This window comes from Homo sapiens, chromosome 10 (assembly GCF_000001405.40).
Source record: "Homo sapiens chromosome 10, GRCh38.p14 Primary Assembly".
Taxonomy (NCBI): Eukaryota; Metazoa; Chordata; class Mammalia; order Primates; family Hominidae; genus Homo; species Homo sapiens.
The window spans coordinates 16836631-16858504 of NC_000010.11; the positions used below are offsets into that span (position 1 = coordinate 16836631).

General features: G+C 41.6%; 1 protein-coding gene across 4 annotated transcripts in view, besides 1 other annotated feature; it reads right to left on the reverse strand.

Moving 5' to 3' along the window:
- The window catches only part of CUBN (cubilin), a 305846-nt gene that overhangs the window by 12665 nt on the left and 271307 nt on the right, over window positions 1–21874 (reverse strand). For all 4 annotated transcript variants that reach the window (NM_001081.4, XM_011519710.3, XM_011519709.3 and 1 more), the window contains 3 exons: window positions 14605–14813; window positions 4255–4417; window positions 3700–3905 (listed from right to left, as the gene is read on the reverse strand). In NM_001081.4, the coding sequence (NP_001072.2) occupies window positions 3700–3905; window positions 4255–4417; window positions 14605–14813 (578 nt within the window). The remainder of the gene's footprint in view (window positions 1–3699; window positions 3906–4254; window positions 4418–14604; window positions 14814–21874) is intronic.
- Window positions 19616–19816: a silencer, noted in NCBI's record as "peak881 fragment used in MPRA reporter construct". NCBI's record gives its function as "represses an SCP1 promoter by STARR-seq MPRAs in K562 erythroleukemia cells {active_cell/tissue: K562}" and the evidence as "EXISTENCE:reporter gene assay evidence [ECO:0000049][PMID:32103011]".

A 21874-nucleotide genomic window follows, 5' to 3' on the forward strand; every position in this document is an offset into this window, starting at 1 on the left:
TAAGATCCCTCGCCTTTTATGCAACTTCCTAGCTGAGGCCTGTGCCATTGCTCTGAGGATCTAGGCTGTTTGAGAGCTCACTGGATCTCTCCTCCTGGGGCTTTTGCCATTGTCCTGAGCTCCATGGGACTAACAACCACCATCACCCTGATCCAGCCCTTGCTACCCCTTAGCAAATCTAATCAGAGCCTTTGGTTCCACTGTACATCCCCCAAGCCAGCCGGGGCCTGTCATGAGGTACCGGTTCCCCTTTGTAACACTAGGGCAGCCCTCATCACCTCTCAAAAGCCTGGAGTAAATGCAGTCGAATGCCCATCAGTTCTTGGGTAAAAACAAGTTGTACCAAAGTCAGGGTATTTGCAGCCTCCCTGTCACAGGAATGTCTCTAATATCTGCAGTTCTTAGGAACCTACTGAAACACCCCACCCGTCTCTGCTTGCAAAACTCCTGTAACTGCTCGGGGCTTCCACCCCTCTTCCCCACTGTCTCCTGCTCTTGGTCCTTGTCTAACTTTGCTGTATCCTGTGAACTTTAACTGCACTGTCAGTCATTCTCGGTATACATCCCCCACCTTTCCACTTTGTGGCCTTAGCAAAACCTGGTTCTCCAGCAGCCTCCTGGTAGAGGCTGTTCTTTACCCATGCTCCACAGTTCATTGAGTGGGAAGGGTGGGGGGCCAGCCTCGGGGGAAGGGAGGGAGGCTCCACATTCCTCACTGCAGCTTCCATCCTCGTCTCAAAGCTGGTTCTCCTTCGACGGTCTCTACATCTGGCCAAAGATATTCTTACCATTATCGTCACTCTCATTTACTTTTCTCCCAGTTACTTCCCTTCATTTATGAAAGACTTGAGGTGTCTCAGCTCATAGTCATCTCCTGCCCCTGATTTCCTTTCTGAACCCTTTAGAGGTTTCTGTGTTTTTATAGACAAGCCATTAAACACCCTCAACTTCATATTTCTTAACCTTAGGGCCTTCTATCTCTGCATCTCTGTTCATCTCCAGTGCCAGCTAACCACTGAACATCCTCCGTAACCACCCTACACATCATTCCTTCATGATCTGCCAATTAGGGCTGCTCTGTCTACTCTTGGATACCCCGAGAATCCCAGTTTCTCCCAGCTCATCCGTCAATGTTTGTCTTTCCTCCCTACCTACCCAGTCCGAAACCCTTGATTGTTTCCTGTATTCATTCAGTGGAAAACATTATTCAGTCATGACAAACACTGGGTCTTACTCGAGGCTGCTCCAGCTGCTGTTATGTTTCAGACGGTGTCTCGTGCCCTGAAAGTGCCATTCTGTGCCCCGCTGAGTGGTCCACCCTGATCCCCATTGTCTTAGCTTCGTGAAGCCAGGGAAAATTGAGAGAGCTTTCACCCAAAGGGCCTGTTCCACTTGGCTGTAAGTCCTCTAGGGTACCAATGGGTAATAGAGATTTTGTCCTGAAAACCATTACCAATGGAATGACGATAATCTAGCATCTTGTCCACCTTGGGAGCTCATCTCAGCATATATGCTTTGCACCAAACTCAGCAAGTCCAGGGTCTATTCAGCTGCCAGCACATCTCACGCCTCTCCACTCTGGAGTCACACAACCTGGACTTTTCTTTCCCCAGCAAGACCACATGAGAAGCAGGGGACCCCAGATTTATAATGAAGGGGACCCTGAAAACTCAGAAGACAACAGATACTCTACTAGTCCAGCATATGGGGCTTTGACCATGACATTTTACTGGAATGAACTGGGGAGGGTTAGTTGCTCCCCAAACTGCAGAAAGACAATCCAGGTATTCTCAGATGTTCTCCTGGTATCCATCCTCAGTTCGTGGCCAATCCCTTTGCATATTTTCCCCAGATAATCTCATTCTTCTCATTTTTCAATTACCTATCATGATAATGATGATGCACAAAAATCTTTGGGCCTTTGGTCAACAACCCACTTTGTGTCCAACTGTCTCCTCAACATCTTATTCCAGAGGAAATTCAGACTCAGCCTTTTTTAAAGCTCAAAATGGATTTTGTTGTTGTTGTTGTTGAGACGAAGTCTCACTCTGTCACCCAGGCTGGAGTGCAGTGGCGCGATCTTGGCTCACTGCAACCTCTGCTTCCCAGGTTCAAGCGATTCTCCTACCTCAGCCTCCTGAGTAGCTGGGATTACAAGCGCACACCACTGCACCCAGCTAATTTTTTGTATTTTCAGTAGAGGCAGGGTTTCACCACACTGGCCAGGCTGATCTTGAACTCCTGACCTCAGGTAATCCACCAGCCTTGGCCTCCCAAAGTGCTGGGATTATAAGCATGAGCCACCACACCCAGCCCTTTTCTTTTTATCTCTCTTATATTACCATGAATATAAACCTATCAGACTAGTGCCAAACAGCCTCTTCACTGATTCTCTTGTGTTCTGTACTGACCCTTTCAATTCAACCTATACATAAATCCCACTAACTAGAGGTATTTCTCCAAGCATGGTCCATGGAGTTCTGGTACTGGCACCAAAACACCAGAGGTGTTTGTCAAAAATTCAGATAAATGGGTGTTATATGGGGGATTCGGTCTCTGAGGGTGGGCCAGGGAGGATGCACTTTTAAGATGCATCTTAATGCATTCTTAGGCACATGAAGCTTTGAGAGCTCTGGACCTGCAGGACCAAGTTCAAGTTTCTCGACACACCTGATTGGAGGGCTTTGTGTATGGATGAAAAACACATTAAGCTGGAAGTAACTTAGAAAATTATTTCATCATGAAACAAACCACTCCATCAAAAAGTGGGCGAAGGATATGAACAGACACTTCTCAAAAGAAGACATTTATGCAGCCAAAAGACACATGAAAAAATGCTCATCATCACTAGCCATCAGAGAAATGCAAATCAAAACCACAATGAGATACCATCTCACACCAGTTAGAATGGTGATTGTTAAAAAGTCAGGAAACAACAGGTGCTGGAGAGGATGTGGAGAAATAGGAACGCTTTGACACTGTTGGTGGAACTGTAAACTAGTTCAACCATTGTGGAAGTCAGTGTGGTGATTCCTTAGGGATCTAGAACTAGAAATACCATTTGATCCAGCCATCCCATTACTGGGTATATACCCAAAGGATTATAAATCATGCTGCTATAAAGACACATGCACACGTATGTTTATTGCGGCACTATTCACAATAGCAAAGACTTGGAACCATCCCAAATGTCCAACAATGATAGACCGGATTAAGAAAATGTGGCACATACACACCATGGAATACTATGCAGCCATAAAAAATGATGAGGTCATGTCCTTTGTAGGGACATGGATGAAGCTAGAAACCATCATTCTCAGCAAACTATCGCAAGGACAAAAAACCAAACACCGCATATTCTCACTCATAGGTGGGAATTGAACAATCGGAACACATGGACACAGGAAGGGGAACATCACACACCGGGGCCTGTTGTGGGGTGGGGGAAGAGGGGAGGGGGGAGGGATAGCATTAGGAGATATACCTAATGTTAAATGACGAGTTAATGGGTGCAGCACACCAACATGGCACATGTATACATATGTAACAAACTTGCACATTGTGCGCATGTACCCTAAAACTTAAAGTATAATTAAAAAAAAGAAAATTATTTCATCATGGCTTCATTACTTCAAGTGTTTTGCAAATACTGGTGAAAAGGTCACTAGATGTGACTGCCATTCATCTTATAATTGTTACCTGCGGTGAGTCCTGAAGCTGTAAGTAATTCTGCGTGCAGTCTTGCGAGGTCAGCTGTAATGCCCACACAGTTATCTTGACCTGCTGATGCGGAGGGGAATCAATGACCCAAGTACAGATGGAAAATGGGACATCTGGGTCTGATGAATTGGGTGATGAAATATTTTGTGGGGTCCAAGTTGCATTGTATGTTCCACCACAAGGCACTGGAGAGGGAGGAAAAAGCAACACAGGAGACATTTTATTCATGTCTCATCTCAGGCAATCTTTGCAATTCTGTCTTCCCTGCCTCCCACCCCGGAGGAGCTATATTTTCATTACTCTATTAAGAATTCAGGGTTTATATCCTTGACTAAAGATTGTATCAAATTTGTACCACAGATTAAACATACAGTAATTAACATGGTGTTTAGCAATTGACATTGAGTTTAGATAGTAATTGACATTGAGTTTAGTAATTAACATTGAAATTTCGATATAATAAGCAGGGCATTCTTTTCAGTGCATAAATACATGTGTATTTCATAACATATAAAAATGCTTCTATTTACTCACTGTCCATGATGGTGTATGTAGCATTAAATCCTTCCCTCTCTAATGTTAAGTCACTGATGAATTGAACCGTAAGGAAGTTACCAGAAGAGATAAAAGGAGCAGGTACTGTGGAACCACAAAACGTTCCAGCCAAGTTCGCATTTTCACTATCCCCATCATATAACTGAGAAGAAAAACAATTCATTACTTCTCCATTACTTACAAAAAATTGCATATTTCACACTAAATTGGACGCGAAGTTGCAATAGGTCACGGTAAACATTTTTACATTGATTTTCTTAGAGGTAGTCTTAATTTAGGAACAGAATTATAATTGGATTGATTATATTATGACTTTCAGGAAAAACCTGTTATGACGCCTAACATTTTTTTCCTCTTTGGGAAATATATGATTTTTAAAAGAAGGTGTTATGAGAGTCCGCTCACCCACTGCTACTTTAACCTCTGCACCGACTCACACTATGGCCCCAACTGCTCTGATCTCTTGCCTAGATGATCACTGCAGCCTCCCATGAAGCCCCTGATTCTGCTCGTGTTCCTCTTTAGTGTATCCTCAAAATGTCATCGAGAGGATACTGTTAAAATGTAAGTCACACCATGTCACTGCTCTGCTGAAATCCTCCTAACTGCTTCCCATCCACTCAATCAAACAGCCAAAGGCATCACAATGGCTTTCTCTCCTCTCCCACCCCTGACCTTTCTAATCTAATTTCTTATTGTCTTCACTTTGTTCGATTCCGCTTCTTGAGCCAAACCAGGTGTGTTGCTGCTTCTTGGGTATGGCATTTGCTGTTCACTTTGCCTGGAATGCTCTTCCCTGTATATCCACATAGTTTGTCCTCGTGCATTTCTTCAGGTCTTTACTCACATATCCCCAACTCGGCCGGGCGTGGTGGTACACCCCTGTAATCCCATATACTTGGGAGGCTGAGGCAGGAGAATAACTTGAATCTAGGAGGTGGAGGTTACAGTGAGCTGAGATGGTGCCACTACACTCCAGCCTGGGTGACAGTGCAAGACTGTCTCAAAAAAAAAAAAAAAAAAAAGATATCCCCAACTCAATAAGGCCTTCCAGATGTAAACTCTCCCAACATTCCCATCTCCTTTCCTGCTTGATTTTTCTCCACAGCAACTGTTACCTTCTTCTATATACTACATATTTAGCTTTTTTTTTTTTTGAAATAAGGTCTCACGCTGTTGCCCAGGCTGGAGTGCAGTGCTGCAATCATAGCTCACTGCAACCTTGAACTTCTGGGCTCAAGTGATCCTCCCACCTCAGCCTCCCAAGTACCTGGGACTACAGGTGCATGCCACCATGCCTAGCTAATTAAAAAAAATTTTTAGAGATGGGGTCTTCCTATGTTGTCCAGGCTAAACTTGCTTATTTCATTGGCTTTCTCTCTGAAGACAATACAAGTTCCATGAATGTACAGATTTCTTTTCTGCTCACTGCCATGTTCCCAGTTTTTAGAAAAGTGTCTGCACGTGAGAGGCTCTCAATAAATATCTAATAAATAAATAAACAAGTGCTTTGATTCCTCTGTCCCACTAGCCCTCCCAAAACTGTTCTCCCAGAGCCATCTTTACCTCAATGTTTCAAGCCTACAACTTTAGTCATCTCTGATTCCTCTCTCTCTCTCTTCACTCCACAACTACTCCAATCTACCTTCAAAATATATCCCAGAGGGCTCCATCTCCAGGTGATCTCCATCGTCCTTCACCTGTTCCCACTGAAACATCTTCTTAATAGGCCTAATTCCGGAGCAGCCATAGTGTTCTCCACTGAACTGCCTGCATGTCTGCAAACTCCAATGAGGTGATGCTCCTGCTCTGTCTAAAATGCTTCGGCAGATCCCCATTGCACCTAAAGTAAAATTCCAGCTCCCTCCCACAGTCTGCAAGCCCCAGCTGCTCTGGCCTGTGCCTCCTTCCCAGGCTGCCCACACCTCACTGCTAGCTGCACTTCCTTCATCCCAGGAGGACTCCTGTCCACAGCCCTGTTCCTGCTGCTCTTCCTTCCTCAGGTGAAGCTGAACCCACACAGCTAAGGACTCCCTGTCATGGGCCCTCACCTGACATGTCACCTCCTCAGAGAAGCCAATGCTATTGAATGTTGCCCTCCCATAGCATCATCCTGTTTTATTTTCCTATTATAATCAAAACTGATCTTATTTATTGTTTATTTACTTTGTCCGGTCTCTTTCCCAACAAGGATGTAAGTCCCACGTGTGGGGAGACAGAGACTCTGTCTGACTTCTTCACTGTGGTGTCGCCAGCACCCAGAACAATTCCCAACCATGGCTCCCTTCTAGAAACATCCATCGAAATAGTGGGTGCTTGGATTTCCCTGAAACACATAACTAGAAAATGTTTTCTTCTGAGTAATCTCCATTGTACTTCTAAAATGAGTGTCTGTGTGTATCTAACTCCAAATATTCAATTCATAACAGAGCTATGTGTTCAAGGCCTCAGAACAGCCATGACCATGACCACTGACATTATTCTAAAGTGCTAGGATTATGTAAGACAGGAATGACTAAAACCAGTCATTGTAAAAGAAAAAGAAATGCACCACTAGATGGCACTGTCTTTCCAACTTAAACATGATTTTAGTTAATTCAGAATCAGATGAAACTCGAGTTTTCTAATCTTCACCCCTTTGTTTCATGGAAGAGCACATTTGCCAAGTTTTAGGTCATGCACTTTTTCTGGTAAACAAGTTAAAATTTCATGATAATCATTGCTGTCTTTATGATCACATTTATATTAGCAAGCATTTTTATTCTGGGACCTGTATGCCAGGCCTCTGTGCTAGATCCCAGGCATACAAGGACATGTAAAGCCCTTTCCAGATCTTCAAGACATAAGACCCCTTCATGAACAAAGGAGAGTAAAGGTCTACAAATTAAATATACAAATACATATATTTGTGTAATATGCACATACACTATGCATACACATAAATATATGTGTATATAAATTATATACAAAATAGAGAAAAATAAGTGCTACAATAAAATAATGGGAGTGTATCATGAGAACCCACGTGATGGAGACAGACATTTGGGTTGGCCCTTAAATGTAAGTAGAGACCTTCCAGACCTGCGGGGCGTGGTGGCTCATTCCTGTAATCCCAGCACTTTGGGAGGCCGAGGCAGGCGGATCGCCTGAGGTCAGGAGTTCGAGACCAGCCTGACCAAAATGGAGAAACCCCATCTCTATTAAAAATACGAAATTAGCCAGATGTGGTGGCGCAGGCCTGTAATCCCAGCTACTTGGGAGGCTGAGGCAGGAGAATTGCTTGAACCCGGGAGGCAGAGGTTGCAGTGAGCCAAGATCGCACCACTGCATTCCAGCCTGGGCGACAAGAGCGAAACTCTGTCCCCAAAAAAAAAAAAAAAGACCTTCCAGACCTACAAAACAGGAAGGGTATCCCAGCCAGACAGTAATAAATGCCAGGCCATGGAAGTGTGAAATGCATGGCACGTGTCAACAACTTCTGACCCCCTTCATTGGCCCTGGAGGCCAGGGTGAGAGAACAGGAGAAATGACGAAGTCCAACAAACAAAGCTGTGAAGTTCCATACATTTCATCCAAGGAGTCTGGATCTGATCCTACGTGATGTAAGATCAGATTTGGGTTTTAAATGGATAACTGGTAAATGTGAAGGAAGGTAGGAGGCAGAAGCCAGGGCTGGATGGAAGGAAATGACATACATACCTGGCCCCAAGCTGGTCTTGTGTTAGTTCATTCATTGCCACAGTAAGATTTCTCCTAAGTGAGTTGAAATAGCTTGTGGCCTCGGGATAACTGACATAGGAGGCTCTAAACTCCTCTGCCTCAAACCCAAGATCTCTATCTGCTCTCTTGTTCTCTGATAACACTAAACCTTCACTACAGACTTTTGCCAGGTTGCCCTACAATGCGTTGCAGGGGACGCCCTATCCAATGATGAGGAGGGGGAATCATATATAAACTGGGATATAAATGGTGCCTTTAGGATCTACACCATTATACGCAGCTACGGGCCACATTCTGGGAGCAAACATTTCCTGGCACAACTGCGATGGACCTGGAGCTTGAATTACGTTCTAAGTCTTGTGGATGTGGGTAAGTGCTGAGAAGAATGTTATATTTTCTCAACTTTTAGAAATCTGATCATTTTAGAATCTGCTAAAGATCCTGAAGGCATTGTACAAATAACTTAGTGGCAGGCAGGCTCTGCTACAACCACGGCAAAATCCCACATTTCACCCAGCTATTGACTTGAGCAGTTAGAAAAACTGGGAAAGAAAATTTTTGGATTTTAATTTCTATGAACTTTTAATGCACAAGGGCAATAGACTTTGATATTGGACTACAATTCTTTTCAAAGGTAATAATTTCATACATTAATATCCTTAGGACTTTATCTTTTAATATTTTCCTGGGAATTTGATCACAAGAGGATTTTGATATTCTTACTGGGAGCAGAATCTTAGAGTATCTTCATGAATTCTTTGATCTTATTGCAGAACCTCTGATGAGGTCTGCTGGGCAACATGCCAGGGCATAATTTAGTATGGGAAGAAGAATAGAGAGTGACTTTTCCAGTTTGGGGCTAAACTCTGACCCATTTCAGAATCTTCTGGAGAAAAAAGTTATACTAGTCCCAGATGTCTGGGAAAAAGCCACAAAGAAGCAATGATTAGAATCAGCTCTACAAGAGCAGGAGTTTTCCTAGTATTGTTTTCTAAAATCTCAATGTTCTTCTCTAGTTCTTGCAGCAATGTCTAGAATATAGTAGGTATGCTAATTAACACTGAACTGAATGAAAGAATGAATGAATAGTAGGTACGACCTCATGTGGATAGGAACGTGATGCCTTCCATAGACTGCTGATCCTCTCCCCAAAGATGGACAGCCCCTCCTCAGCTCCAGTGTCTGACACAGACTGAATGGTTAAGCCCGGTGCATTAAGTCAGACCTTCTCAATGAGGTCAATACCACCCCATAGGGAGTGTTTTGCACAAGTGTGGTGGTTTTTGGGTCATCACTATAATTTGGGCCTATAACTGGCATTTAGTAATTCACAGGACAGTTTTGCAAAGTGAAGATTTTTGTCCCACATAACTTTTGAATGTCCTGTCAGACATTTGTGTAAAAAAAAACTTGTTTATAATTATTTGATCCCAGAACCTAAGTCCATTTTATATATAAACACAAAAATATTTTTGCACAGTTTTGATATGCACCAAATTTCCAGAAATGCAATTATTGTGTAAGCTGAGGGAAGACTGTACTTTGTTTGGTTTAGAAATGTTTGTTTTGAGTTTTTCCACCATTCTGGAAACTTATCTTGCAGATGGTGATGCTGCTATTGGCATGCGGGTTGCAAATATAACCCACCCGTATTTGTTTACATTTATACTTTTTATTCACCACCATTCTACATATAAAAGGAATCTATTTTATTATGTGACTTTGTGTAGCAGTGTTAGAGTATTTACATATACGAAGACACACTATTTTATATACTTTCCTTTTATTTCTCCTTTTCATTGCCTTTGGGATAGTACAGTGATTTTCTGAAATTACATTATGGGTAGGTTATAGCATAGATGACATTCACTTCAGGTGGGAAAGGAAGGATTACAAAATATTGGCTATGAAAAGGGGCAGTGACACCTGTAATCCCAGCACTTTGGGAGGCCAAGGTAGGTGGATCACCTAAGGTCAGGAGTTCGAGACAAGCCTGGCCAACATGGTGAAACCCCGTCTCTACTAAAAATACAAAAATTAGCTGGGCATGGTGGTGCATGTCTGTAATCCCAGCAACTTGGGAGGCCGAGGCAGGAGAATCACTTGAATTCGGGAGGCAGAGGTTGCAGTAAGCCAATATCACACCATTGCACTCGAGCCTGGGTGACAAGATAGAAACTCTGTCTCAAAAAAAAAAAAAGAAAAGAAAAAGAAAAAGAAAAGGGGCACGGATGGGGTTGAGGAAAAACTGGGCAATGTTAGGATGAGGACCTCTCTCTGCTGGTTCCATACTTCCTGGCAGAAAAAGTCAGCTAGGTTCATGCTCCTCTCAGTTTCGTAAAGGATAACAAAAGGGAGTGAGTTTCTGTTCATTTTGTAAATTCCAGCTCAGCCATCACCCTCTAGAAAGCCTTTCCTAGCCAAAACAAAGCCAATCAGAGCCTCTTCTGCTCTGCCCTTCTATGTTGTTTCTATTTATGATTTTTGTCATGTTATGCAACACGTTATACAATGTGAAAAAAATGTCCGTTATTTAAATGTGTTTGGCCGGGCGTGGTGGCTCATGCCTGTAATCCCAGCACTTTGGGAGGCCGAGGCGGGCGGATCCCAAGGTCAGGACATCGAGACCATCTTGGCTAACACAGTGAAACTTCATCTCTACTAAAAATACAAAAAATTAGCTGGGTGTGGTGGCGGGCGCCTGTAGTCCCAGCTACTCAGGAGGCTGAGGCAGGAGAATGGCGTGAACCCGGGAGACAGAGCCTGCAGTGAGCCGAGATAGCACCACTGCAGTCCAGCCTGGGCAAGACAGCACCACTGCAGTCCAGCCTGGGCAAAACAGCAAGACTCCAACTAAAAAAAAAAATGTATTTTATTTGTACTTTAAATGTAATTATTTAAATGTATGTTTTTTGTTTACATGTCAGTCTCCTACACTTTACTAGCAGCTCCTCAAGAAGCTTGAACTCTTCAAGAGATGTCTTTAACTCTCTACATCTCCAGTGATGCTGGTACAGGGCCTGGCACATACCCTTGCCAACTAACTCCTGCAATGGATGCGATGTGGATTTCAAAAGAGACTGCTCAGTGACATGCACAATTCACTACGTGATTCAGTTACCGTAATTACTCTCCAAGTCAACCCTTTCACAAACGATCATGATAGAATTATGAATGAATAATGGAATTGGTATGATTTTACTTGTGTATCTACCACAGAGTTCAGTTAAATTAGCTTTTCTAAAAAGTGATTTGATTATAATCTCTAAAAAAAAATCTAAAAGGAATCAACCGTCCCATTTATCACAGAAAAATCTCTTTAATAAAGAAAGCTCCAAGCTCCACATTCCAAGGGCTATTCTTTGATCTGCCAGTTTAGTGGTAGTTGGAAACGTTGCCAATGGAAGGAAATTGCTTTTCCAAGGGGGAAAACAAGAATAGTTCTGAACAGAATTTATTTGAAAAAAACGATATTTTATTTTGAAGCAAGAAAATAACTCCTTGTTTTTGATATTGCAGTTTCTGGCCTGAATGAATTGCGGAAATTCAGACAATGACAGGCTGTTTTGATGACATTATCAAATCACACTCCATAAAAATGGATCTTGAGAGTAAATCCAGTCAACTCTCCTAGCAGGGCCATACTCAAATCATTCTATAAGAATTTAAAATTGTAATTTTATATGCAAATCCATTATTTTTAGTTTTTAAGAAAAAGAAATTCCATAGTGCCCATGCCTATTTGGAATTACTCCAACGGGGAAAAAAAGGGAGGTAAATTTGTTTACAATTTATGTCAGGCACAGTGCTAAACGCTCTAGTACACATAATTTCAATCCTCAAAACTGCCTTTCACAGTAGGTACTATTATGTGATTTAAAGAAAAATTGACGAAATGATGAGGAATCGGGGAGATTAGGAAATTTGTCTGACAGCAAAATTGGGTTAGAGTCCCCATACTCTCCGTCTCTAAACCTTATTACCTTTCTGTAAAGCCAGGAGAGCTCTCAAACAGTTTTGAATTCAGCTTTAGGACTGCTCTAGTCATTTTGGTCTCTCCCAGCCTTTTTTTTTTTTTTTTTTTTTTTTTTTTGGCGAAAGTATCTCACTCTGTTGCCCAGGCTGGTGTGCAGTGATGCAATCACGACTGACTGCAGCTTATACCTTCTGGGTTCAGGGGATCCTTCCACCTCAGTCTCCCGAGAAGCTGGTACCGTAGGTGCACAGCACCACACCCAGATAATTGTTTTGTATTTTTTGTAGAGACGGGTTCTCACTATGTTGCCAGGGCTTGTCTCAAACTTCTGAGCTCAAGCAATCTGCCTACCTCTGCCTCCCAGTGTGCTGGGATTACAGACGTGAGTCACCGCACTCGGCCGGCCAGGTCTCATTTTAGGAAAGGAGAATTAAACTGGAATTGACATTCCTTGCTATCTTTAGTCTTTCATGAACTCCTCTGATCCAGCTTCTGTGCCAATACTTTATTTAAATGGTTGTCATCCAGTGCAATGAGGCTGTTCTTCATCTTTCCCTTTCTTGGCCTCTACTTTACAATTCAATAGTATTGACCACCCATGCTTTGTAAAAGAATCCCCCTGCCCCTTGACTTCAGGGATACTACACTATTCCTGGTCTTCACATTTATCTTTTCATGACGCGTCTGTTCTTTTCCTGTGCCTTTTGCCTTCTCCAGTTGCCTCCCTGGGTACTTTTCCTGGAGCTGAGAGCCTGACTCTCTGAAATCTATGCTGACTCCCTCTAAGAAAGCATCCTTTCTCCTGATGGAAGGAAGGCTCTTTGCTGTGTCCTCTCTATTCGTGGAGCTGTCTTCTCACCGGAGCCCCGTTCCATTCTCTGCCCACTGCAGTCTCACTTGTCTGTCTTGCTCTCACCAAACCACACTGTTATTTTTCTGGCCTCCCAACCTTAGCCCCTTTCATAGTAAAAACAAAAGCATGTAACTAAGTGCTCAAATGGGTATTCCCTCCACAAATTTTCCTTCCTTTTCTTTTAAAATTATTTTCTCTAAAGTTTATTGCAATCCTAGAACTTAAGTTTCTCTTGCACCCCTCTTGCCATCACCGCCATGGCTGCACCCCTGATCCAGGTCTAAGACTGACCTTCTCACCTAGGAGGGACCTCTCTCTGGAGCCCTCCCAGCCTCCTCTCCTTCCAGTTCCCACAGCTGCTGATTTCAGGTTAGTCTTCCCTAGCTACTGCTGTTGTCACCTCACTCATTGGAAAACCTTCAACCACTCCTTATTTTCACCCGCACAGAGTCTAAAGTCATTAGTTTGACTTTCAGGATCCTTTGTAATCTCGGTATTTCTCTATGTAGGCCATCTTATTTCTTGCTACTCTTTAGCACTATTCTGCTTCAACACAGCCAGCCTCTTTACGCTTTCGAGAACATGCACGTATCAATTCCTATGCCTTTTTGAAAATGTTCACCTTGCCTGAATTCTCTCCTGACCTGAGTAAGTTTTCCCTCGCTCTATCAAGTCATTCTTGATCACACGAGTTTCATGAACTTTCTTTCCTTCTAAGCTTGCACATTGCTTCAAGCCTGCATCGAATGCATTCATTAGCGCTTAAATGCTGACTATCCTGAACTATGCATTCTTAATTTGCATGTGTCATCCCATAATTTTCTAATCAGACTTAAGCTCCTCATAAATACAAATCTTGCCATACTTTTTATTTTTCCCCTGAGAGTGCAGTAGTAAATACTGATTGATGCTACTTAACACTTGTAATCTGAACCTATATAACCTGATAGGTATAATAATTTAATATTAAAGTCATTAAAAATTGAACAGAAGTTTCTTGATTTACTTTTTTATTTTATTTATTTATTTATTTTTGAGACGGAGTCTTGCTCTGCTACCCAGGCTAGAGTGCAGTGGCGAGATCTCAGCTCACTGCAACCTCCACCTCCCGGGTTCAAGCGATTCTCCTGCCTCAGCCTCTGGAGCAGCTGGGACTACAGGCGCCCGCCGCCACACCCGGCTAATTTTTTGTGTCTTTAGTAGAAACAGGGTTTCACCATGTTGGCCAGGCTGGTCTCAAACTCCTGGCCTCAAGTGATCCTCCTGCCTCGGTGTCCCAAATTGCTGGAATTACAGGCATGAGCCACAGTGCCCAGCCTTTATTTACTTTTAATGGGATTTCAGAACCATTTTAATATCTAAACATAATGTGATAAGCAAATCTATAAGCCTAAGAAATAGACAAATTAAGAGGTGATTATTTGTGTCACTGACATTGTTTATTTTAGGATTTGCCAAAGGTCCTTTGAGTATCTCTCTCCAGAAAACCGACCTTCCTATAGATCGTCTTTTGCAAGACATTGATGAATAGGAGATTTAAATGCTAATGTTGGAAGCCAGTCACACAAAATATTTGAGTCACCCATATTAAAGATTAATTTGATATGAAGATAGAGCATCTATAATATTAAATGTAGCATCACTGAAGAAAAGGTCATTTTAAAAAGCAGTAGCACCTGTACTCAAAATTAGCAGGACTTCCTGTAACGATATAAACTGGAATACACTATATTAGAGTCTGGGATGAATAGACTCTGTTAAAAAAATAAAACAGCCTTACCTTTACATAATCATAAAGGCATCTTTGCCTAGTACTTGCTGCCTCCAGAGCAAATGTATTGAAGGTGAGGTGAATTACTTTGTTTACAGGTGCAATTATGATCCATACACAGTTTAAATTCTTGTCATACATTCCATTCGAATCAGAATCAGGAGAGGCAAAGGTATTATTCGAGCCTGTCAGATAACCACCACATCCTTGCTGAGGCCCTGCATTAAAACAAAGACATCACTATGCAGACCAAACAGAACCGACCTTACATTGTACATGGAGGGTTTTTAAAAAGAACATAGTTTCCATTTTCTGTCACACTCTGAGAACATGATCAGATCATTCCCTCCTGGGCTCCCTCCTTTCCTCCCTCCCTCTTTTCTTTTCTTTCTTCCTTCCCCCCACCCGCCCCATCTCTCCCTCCTTCCCTCCCTCTATCTTTCCCTCCCTCACTCTATCTTTCCCTCCCTCCCTCTATCTTTCCTTCCCTCCATCTTTCCCTCCCTCCCTCTATCTTTCCCTCCCTCACTCTGTCTTTCCCTCCCTCACTCTCTTTCCCTCTCTCCCTCCATCTTTCCCTCCCTCCCTCTATATTTCCCTCCCTCACTCTGTCTTTCCCTCCCTCACTCTCTTTCCCTCTCTCCCTCTATCTTTCCCTCCCTCCATCTTTCCCTCCCTGACTCTATCTTTCCCTCCCTCCCTCTATCTTTCCCTCCCTCCATCTTTCCCTCCCTCAATCTTTCCCTCCCTCCCTCTATCTTTCCCTCCCTCCCTCTATCTTTGCCTCCCTCACTCTATCTTTCCCTCCCTCCCTCTATCTTTCCCTCCCTCCATCTTTCCCTCCCTCCATCATCTTTCCCTCCCTCCCTCTATCTTTCCCTCCCTCCCTCCATCTTTCCCTCCCTCCATCTTTCCCTCCCTCACTCTATCTTTCCCTCCCTCCCTCTATCTTTCCCTCCCTCCCTCCCTCTATCTTTCCCTTCCTCACTCTATCTTTCCCTCCCTCCATCTTTCCATCCCTCCCTCTATCTTTCCCTCCCTCCCTCCATCTTTCCCTTCCTCACTCTATCTTTCCCTCCCTCCATCTTTCCATCCCTCCCTCCATCTTTCCCTCCCTCCCTCTATCTTTCCCTCCCTCCCTCTATCTTTGCCTCCCTCACTCTATCTTTCCCTCCCTCCATCTTTCCCTCCCTCACTCTATCTTTCCATCCCTCCCTCTATCTTTCCCTCCCTCCCTCCCTCTATCTTTCCCTCCCTCACTCTATCTTTGCCTCCCTCAGTCTATCTTTCCCTTCCTCACTCTATCTTTGCCTCCCTCGCTCTTTGCTTCCATAGCAGAGCCTTCAGGTGTCTCCTTCTTATTCACGGAGTTGCTGAAAGAAGTGGGAAAACACATAGGGTTCTACAGACGTTTTTGGGATTGCTGATGTGATTTATTGAAGATTTTCCTGGCCTTGAAAAATCCAGTTTTATACAAAATCAAGTACTTTGCATAATAAAGCTGGTGGAAAATGTGCATATGTTTTACTTTTATGTTCCGCTTTCATGAACACTGTCAGACTGAAAACTGAATTTATGAAGAATTTACCCAACAAACCAAGAAAATTGCTGCCAACAAATCTTTTATTTACACAGTGTGATAGAAAGAGGCTGAGAGGCATTTAACACTGCAGTCCAGTTTATATTCAGCCACACTCTATATTTAACTTTTTCTTTTCCAAAACATGAGAAGCTAAAGGAAAAAATCTTTATAGAAGAAAAAGGCCTTCTTTCAGATAAAAATTTTATAATTCAGAATAAAAATACAAAGGAGAGATAAAGAATAATCTCAAGATGATTAAACGGTCTACCATAAAAGAATACAAAAAAACAATCCTCAGAACATAAGATTTAGTTTTGTCTACTCCATGGCCTAAGCAGACAGCTCAGAAATGATTTAAGAAGAGCATAAAGGGATGAACAATTTATTGACAATTTTGAAAGAAATGGTGAAATAAGCTCAAAATAGCCCTAGTAGGAACAGGGATTAAACTGGTGCTGAAATTAATGTCTATAAAGCTTGTATTCTACACAAATATAGGTCATGGCTAGTTCCAAAGTTAAACTTCGCTGGGATTGGCCTTCAGTCTATTTTTCTCATTCCATTTTCTGCTCACGGTGAAAAGACTGCTTTCAACATTAGGGGGTGCTAAGATTTTGTACTTGGACCTTGGCAGTAAACATGAACAATGGTGGCTCTCCTGAACCCTGTCTGTAAATCCAATGGATAGATAGCAAACGTGCAGGGTGATTTTTGTTACAGGCACATTACTTAGTAGGTCAGGCTTGGCCTGTCCATAGCTTCTAAGTCAGGCGAAACTATAGAGTATTTGCATAGTCAGACATTTCCCAAAGTTGAAATGCTTCCAAAGGCCCAGTCCCTGATATATTCACAGAGGTCATATAGGACAAAATTATTCTGAAACGTAAGCAATACGCAGTGCTTCACCACATGTTGCTAATGATTCTGCTAATCTGAAATGGGCCTGCAAACTCAAGAGAGGGTTGGAGTTTGTGGAGTTTGAGCAGCTTTGATTCCAGTGTGAACTGACTGTTACTTAAGGAAACCACTTAAGCTTATTGGCATGCGTAGCACAGAAGAACGATGACTGAGGGTATGAATGGATTGATAAATTTATTTATTACATATTGTTTCAATATTCAAGAAAGTATATTTAGTATTTAAGTAGAAAAAGATAAGTGATAGTCCATTAGTAGTAAGACATAGATAAATAATGATGACGCAATTTAGAAAATGATAGGTTCAGTAAAAGAGGCAGAAACGTCTTACAGTTTTGCAAAAAGATGAAGATTACTTTGGGCTATGAGGATCTCAACTGTTCCAAGGAGGAGGTGATTTGGATCTGGGTCTTGAAGCATAAATAGAATAAAACCATGTAGAAATGGAATTGGCATTGGCAATTCCAGCCTGAAAGAATCTCTTGATCCAAGGCTAAATGGGCAAGAATTTACATTATATGCATGGGCAAGCATAACTCTGAGAAAAGAATAGGGCACATGAAGGAGAATAATGAGAATTAGGATTGGGAAAACAGGATGGGGTCTTCTACAGAGGGCCTTCAATGCTGGATTATACAGAGTTTGGCTGTCAGACTGTGTTCTTTGGCTAATGGGATTCAGTTGAAAGATTTTTAATCAAATAAGTGGTAGAATCAGGATGCACTTGCTAATCAAGTCTGATCTAAAAATTGATCCAGAACCAGCATTTTACATGCAAGGGAACGAGACTGAAGGAGATGAGACCAGGTGAAAGGACATTGCTGTGGTGAGGGCTGCAGGTAGGAGCACTGAAGAGTTGGAGGTAGGTAGACAGGAAAATGCTGTTGCTGGGCATTATTCTATTAATCATCAGCTTCAAAAACTAAATGTTATTTTTAAACATTCAAGCTATATTTATCACTACTTGTTTATTAACTGTTACTAATAAGTTCATAAGGGCAAGATGGCAATTGTACTTGGGCCCAGTGAATGCCATTACACACACTTATTATGTAGTACTACTGCTATGACTAATGCCATAAAGCAGCACACCCACATTCCAGGGAACCCCAGAACAAGCATCCTTAAATCACTGATGTGTTTGCCATGGATTGAGTGGTAAATTGGCTGATCCATCCTCCCTCCTTTCCTTCCTTCCTTCCTTCCTTCCTCCCTCCCTCCCTCCCTTCCTCTCTTCCTCCCTCACTCCTTCTTTTTTCTTCCTTTCCTTTCCTTTTTTCTCTCTCTCTCTTTCTCTCTCTCTCTTTCTCTCTATCTCTCTTCCCCTCCCCTCCCCTCCTCTCTCCTCCCCTCCCCTCCCCTCCCTCCCTCCTTCCCTTCCTTCCTTCCTTCCTTCCTTTCTTCTAGATGAGGACTTGCTATGATGCCCAGGCTGGTCTCGTATTCTTGGGGTCAAGCAAATCCTTCCACCTCAGCCTCTTGAATAGCTGGGATTACAGGTGCATGCCACCATGCCCAGCTTAACTGGCTGATTTTTAATTCTTCAGTATCTCTCTTTGCACTGCACTAAAATGGAGAGTATATTTTTCTGTGCACTTGATGTTAGGCTTAGCCCTACGACTTGCTTTAGAATGAGTGTTAGTGGTCATGAAGCAGCCAGAGGCCTTAAACGTGCTTACGTTTTGTTCTTGTTTTTATTGTTGTCTAGGACTTTGTGCTCCTGTGATCCACTAAGATATCATGTGCTGAGTAACTGCTGGTTCAAAGAAAAAGTGGATTCATGTGGAGCAGACTTGAACCCAGACTCAACTTTACAGCCAACTACAGCCAACCCGCAGCTTGGAACGGAGGCAGGCAAGCTAGTCCGTGGACCCATAAGTGATAAAAACAAATGCTTTCATTATAAGACACTGAATTTTGGATGGTTTGTTAAGTAGCACTGTCATGGTAATAGCAGACTAATACACACAACTAATATTAATAGCTTGTTTGAGCTATCAAACTATAATAGAGCTCATTGTTCAATTCACAAAATATACACACAGAATAAAGAACATGGAGAAAAATATCATGAGATAATCCTGGCCAAAATAATCAAATATTTGAAGTGAATATCATATTACATGAGTGAACAGTTATTTGTGTAGTGCAGGGAATAGCAATTGCTCTAATTCCCCCTCTTTAGTGCTTAAATATAGCAAAACTGCTCCATGCAAAATGAAATGTAAGTGTATATGTCTTTGAGAAAACGTAATGATCAATATTAACAAAAGAAGGGTTCTTTCCCAAAAGGAGCTATTGCCACATTGCTCTTTCTGTGTTTCAATGGTGGGGGAATATAAACAAGGGCGACCTCTGTGACTATGCAATAGAGTCCCACGCATCAGAAAGTCATATATATTTACCATACTGATATTTTGAAATTGCATTTTTTAATGTATAAGCCATCTTAACCTTGATATGTTTAGCATCACCAATCCATCATTTCCTCATTACTACACATTTTGGGGCCACCTAGACAGCTCTCATCCATCAGCACCTGCCTCATCAATCAGGTGTGTCAGTCACTCTCTGATGACACACCCTGCGTCCAAGAACAAACGTCACTCTTTCTTCCCTGAATTGGAAATATCTCTCTCACACAAAAGAGCCATTTCTTCAGAGAAAATACATGTTTTGGCTAAAGAAATATTGGAAATATAACCCCATAATAAGGAGTGAGATCCAGGTCTAAATCTACTTAATTAAAAATCGGTAACCGAATCCTGAATTATTACCTTCCAATGACTAAACCTCAGAGTGAAGCTTAAGCCAAGATCAATCTGATAAGGGAAAAAATAGTTACATTCTCTTGGATAAAACATCTCGAAGGCTTCAGTGGAGTTAGATACATTTTTAAATCATTATTTGGAGAATTGACATTTTTGTGGCTCACATTCTATACGGCTGACATTTTCCTGAGGTTGTCTGGATAGTATCTCTGCCTGTCTCTGGTTGACCACTACTGAGAAGGTGCACAGTGTGCTGTACGAGCAGATACAGACTGGCTTGACTTCAGGCCCTCTCCTGTTTCCAGCAAGCCATCTGTGGCTTTAGGCTGCAGCTGAAGGAAGCTTTACTGGAAACTACAGGAAGCAGAATACAAAGACATTTAAAGCTGGTGCCTTAGGGAAATTCGAGCACACCTAGACAGCTTCCTTTCTACCACCCAGGGATGCAGGGCTAGAAATGCATTATCCTTTTTTGGAATCAGCCTTACTGTAATTTATAAAGCTGCAGATACACAATTGCTCCAAAGCAGTGTATTCATGTAAAAACATTCTACTAGGTTTCAGACGAACCTGTTTTGTCTTTTTCTCTAAAAGTAAACAGTGTTTATTATTTTACTCCCTAATCTCCAATGTGTACAATACTTCAGGTATAATATTTATGTTTTACAAGAAAAAAGTTAGTAGTTTTTGTAATGAGGTTTTTTATTGTTTTGTTTGTTTTTAGTTGCTTCACTTAATTTGACTCACTTTAGTTATCCTAATTTGAAACCCAGCTTAATCTAAATTAAAATGTGTATTTAGTCTGGTAATATTTAGGAATCATAAAACTAAAAGAATGGTAATTTACTAAAAGAAAGGTAATTTCAGCAAGCTAATCAGTAGCTGTAGTTAATAGAAAAAGAGCAATACTTGTATAAAGAACTTAGGAGAAGGAAAATTTTATCGTTATCTTTTAATTTATCTTGCATTATTTAGATATCACTGAAAATGCTCTATGCATACATCATTAGCCCCAGGGCATTTTATGAGAATCATTCTTTCCAACTTGGAAATTAAAAAAATAATTTACTAAGCAAAATGACATGATCATGTCAGTTGATGCTGAAAAAGGATTTGACAAAATCCAACACACATTCATGATAAAAACTCTTGGCAAACTAGGAATAGAGGAGAAATTTCTTGACTTGATAAAAACCATCTGCAAAAACCTACAGCTAACAGCATAATTAATGGTGAAATACTAAACGCTTTCTCCCTAAGATCAGGAACAAGGCAACGATATTGATTTCACACCCCTCTAACTCAGCGTAGTATTAGAATTCTTGCCAGAATAAAGCAAGAAAAAATATATAGAGAGACTGGAAAGGAAGAAATAAAATTTCCACTTTTGCAAGTAACTATTAGCTGCAGAAAATCCCAAGTAATATGGAAAAACATTCTTAGAACTAACATATGAGTTCAGCAAGAACTCAGGATAAAGGAACAATACACAAAAATCAATCAAATTTTAATATACTAACCATTAACATGTGGAGACCAAAATTAAAAAACAATACCATTTATAATCATTACAAAAAAATGAAATATTTAGGTATATACTTAATGAAGCAGATACAGGCTTATGTGATGAAAATTACAAAATAATGAAATAAATAAAAGAAGGCCTAAATAAGTCTAGATACATATATGTTCATGGATTGGAAAACTCAACATAGTAAAGACATCAGTTTTCCCCAAATTGATGGATAGATTTAATGCAATTCCTATAAAAATCTCAGCAAGGTTTTTCTGCAAACATCAAAAAGCTTAACTTATTTTTATTTTTATTTATTTACGTTTTTTTAGGATAGAGGCTTGCTCTGTCACCCAGACTGGAGTGCAGTGGTGTGATCACAGCTCACTGCAACTTTGAACTCCTGGGCTCAAGGGATCCTCCTACCTCAGCCTCCCAGTTAGCTAGGACCACAGGCAAATGCCACCATGCCTGGCTAATTTTGTTATTTTTGGTG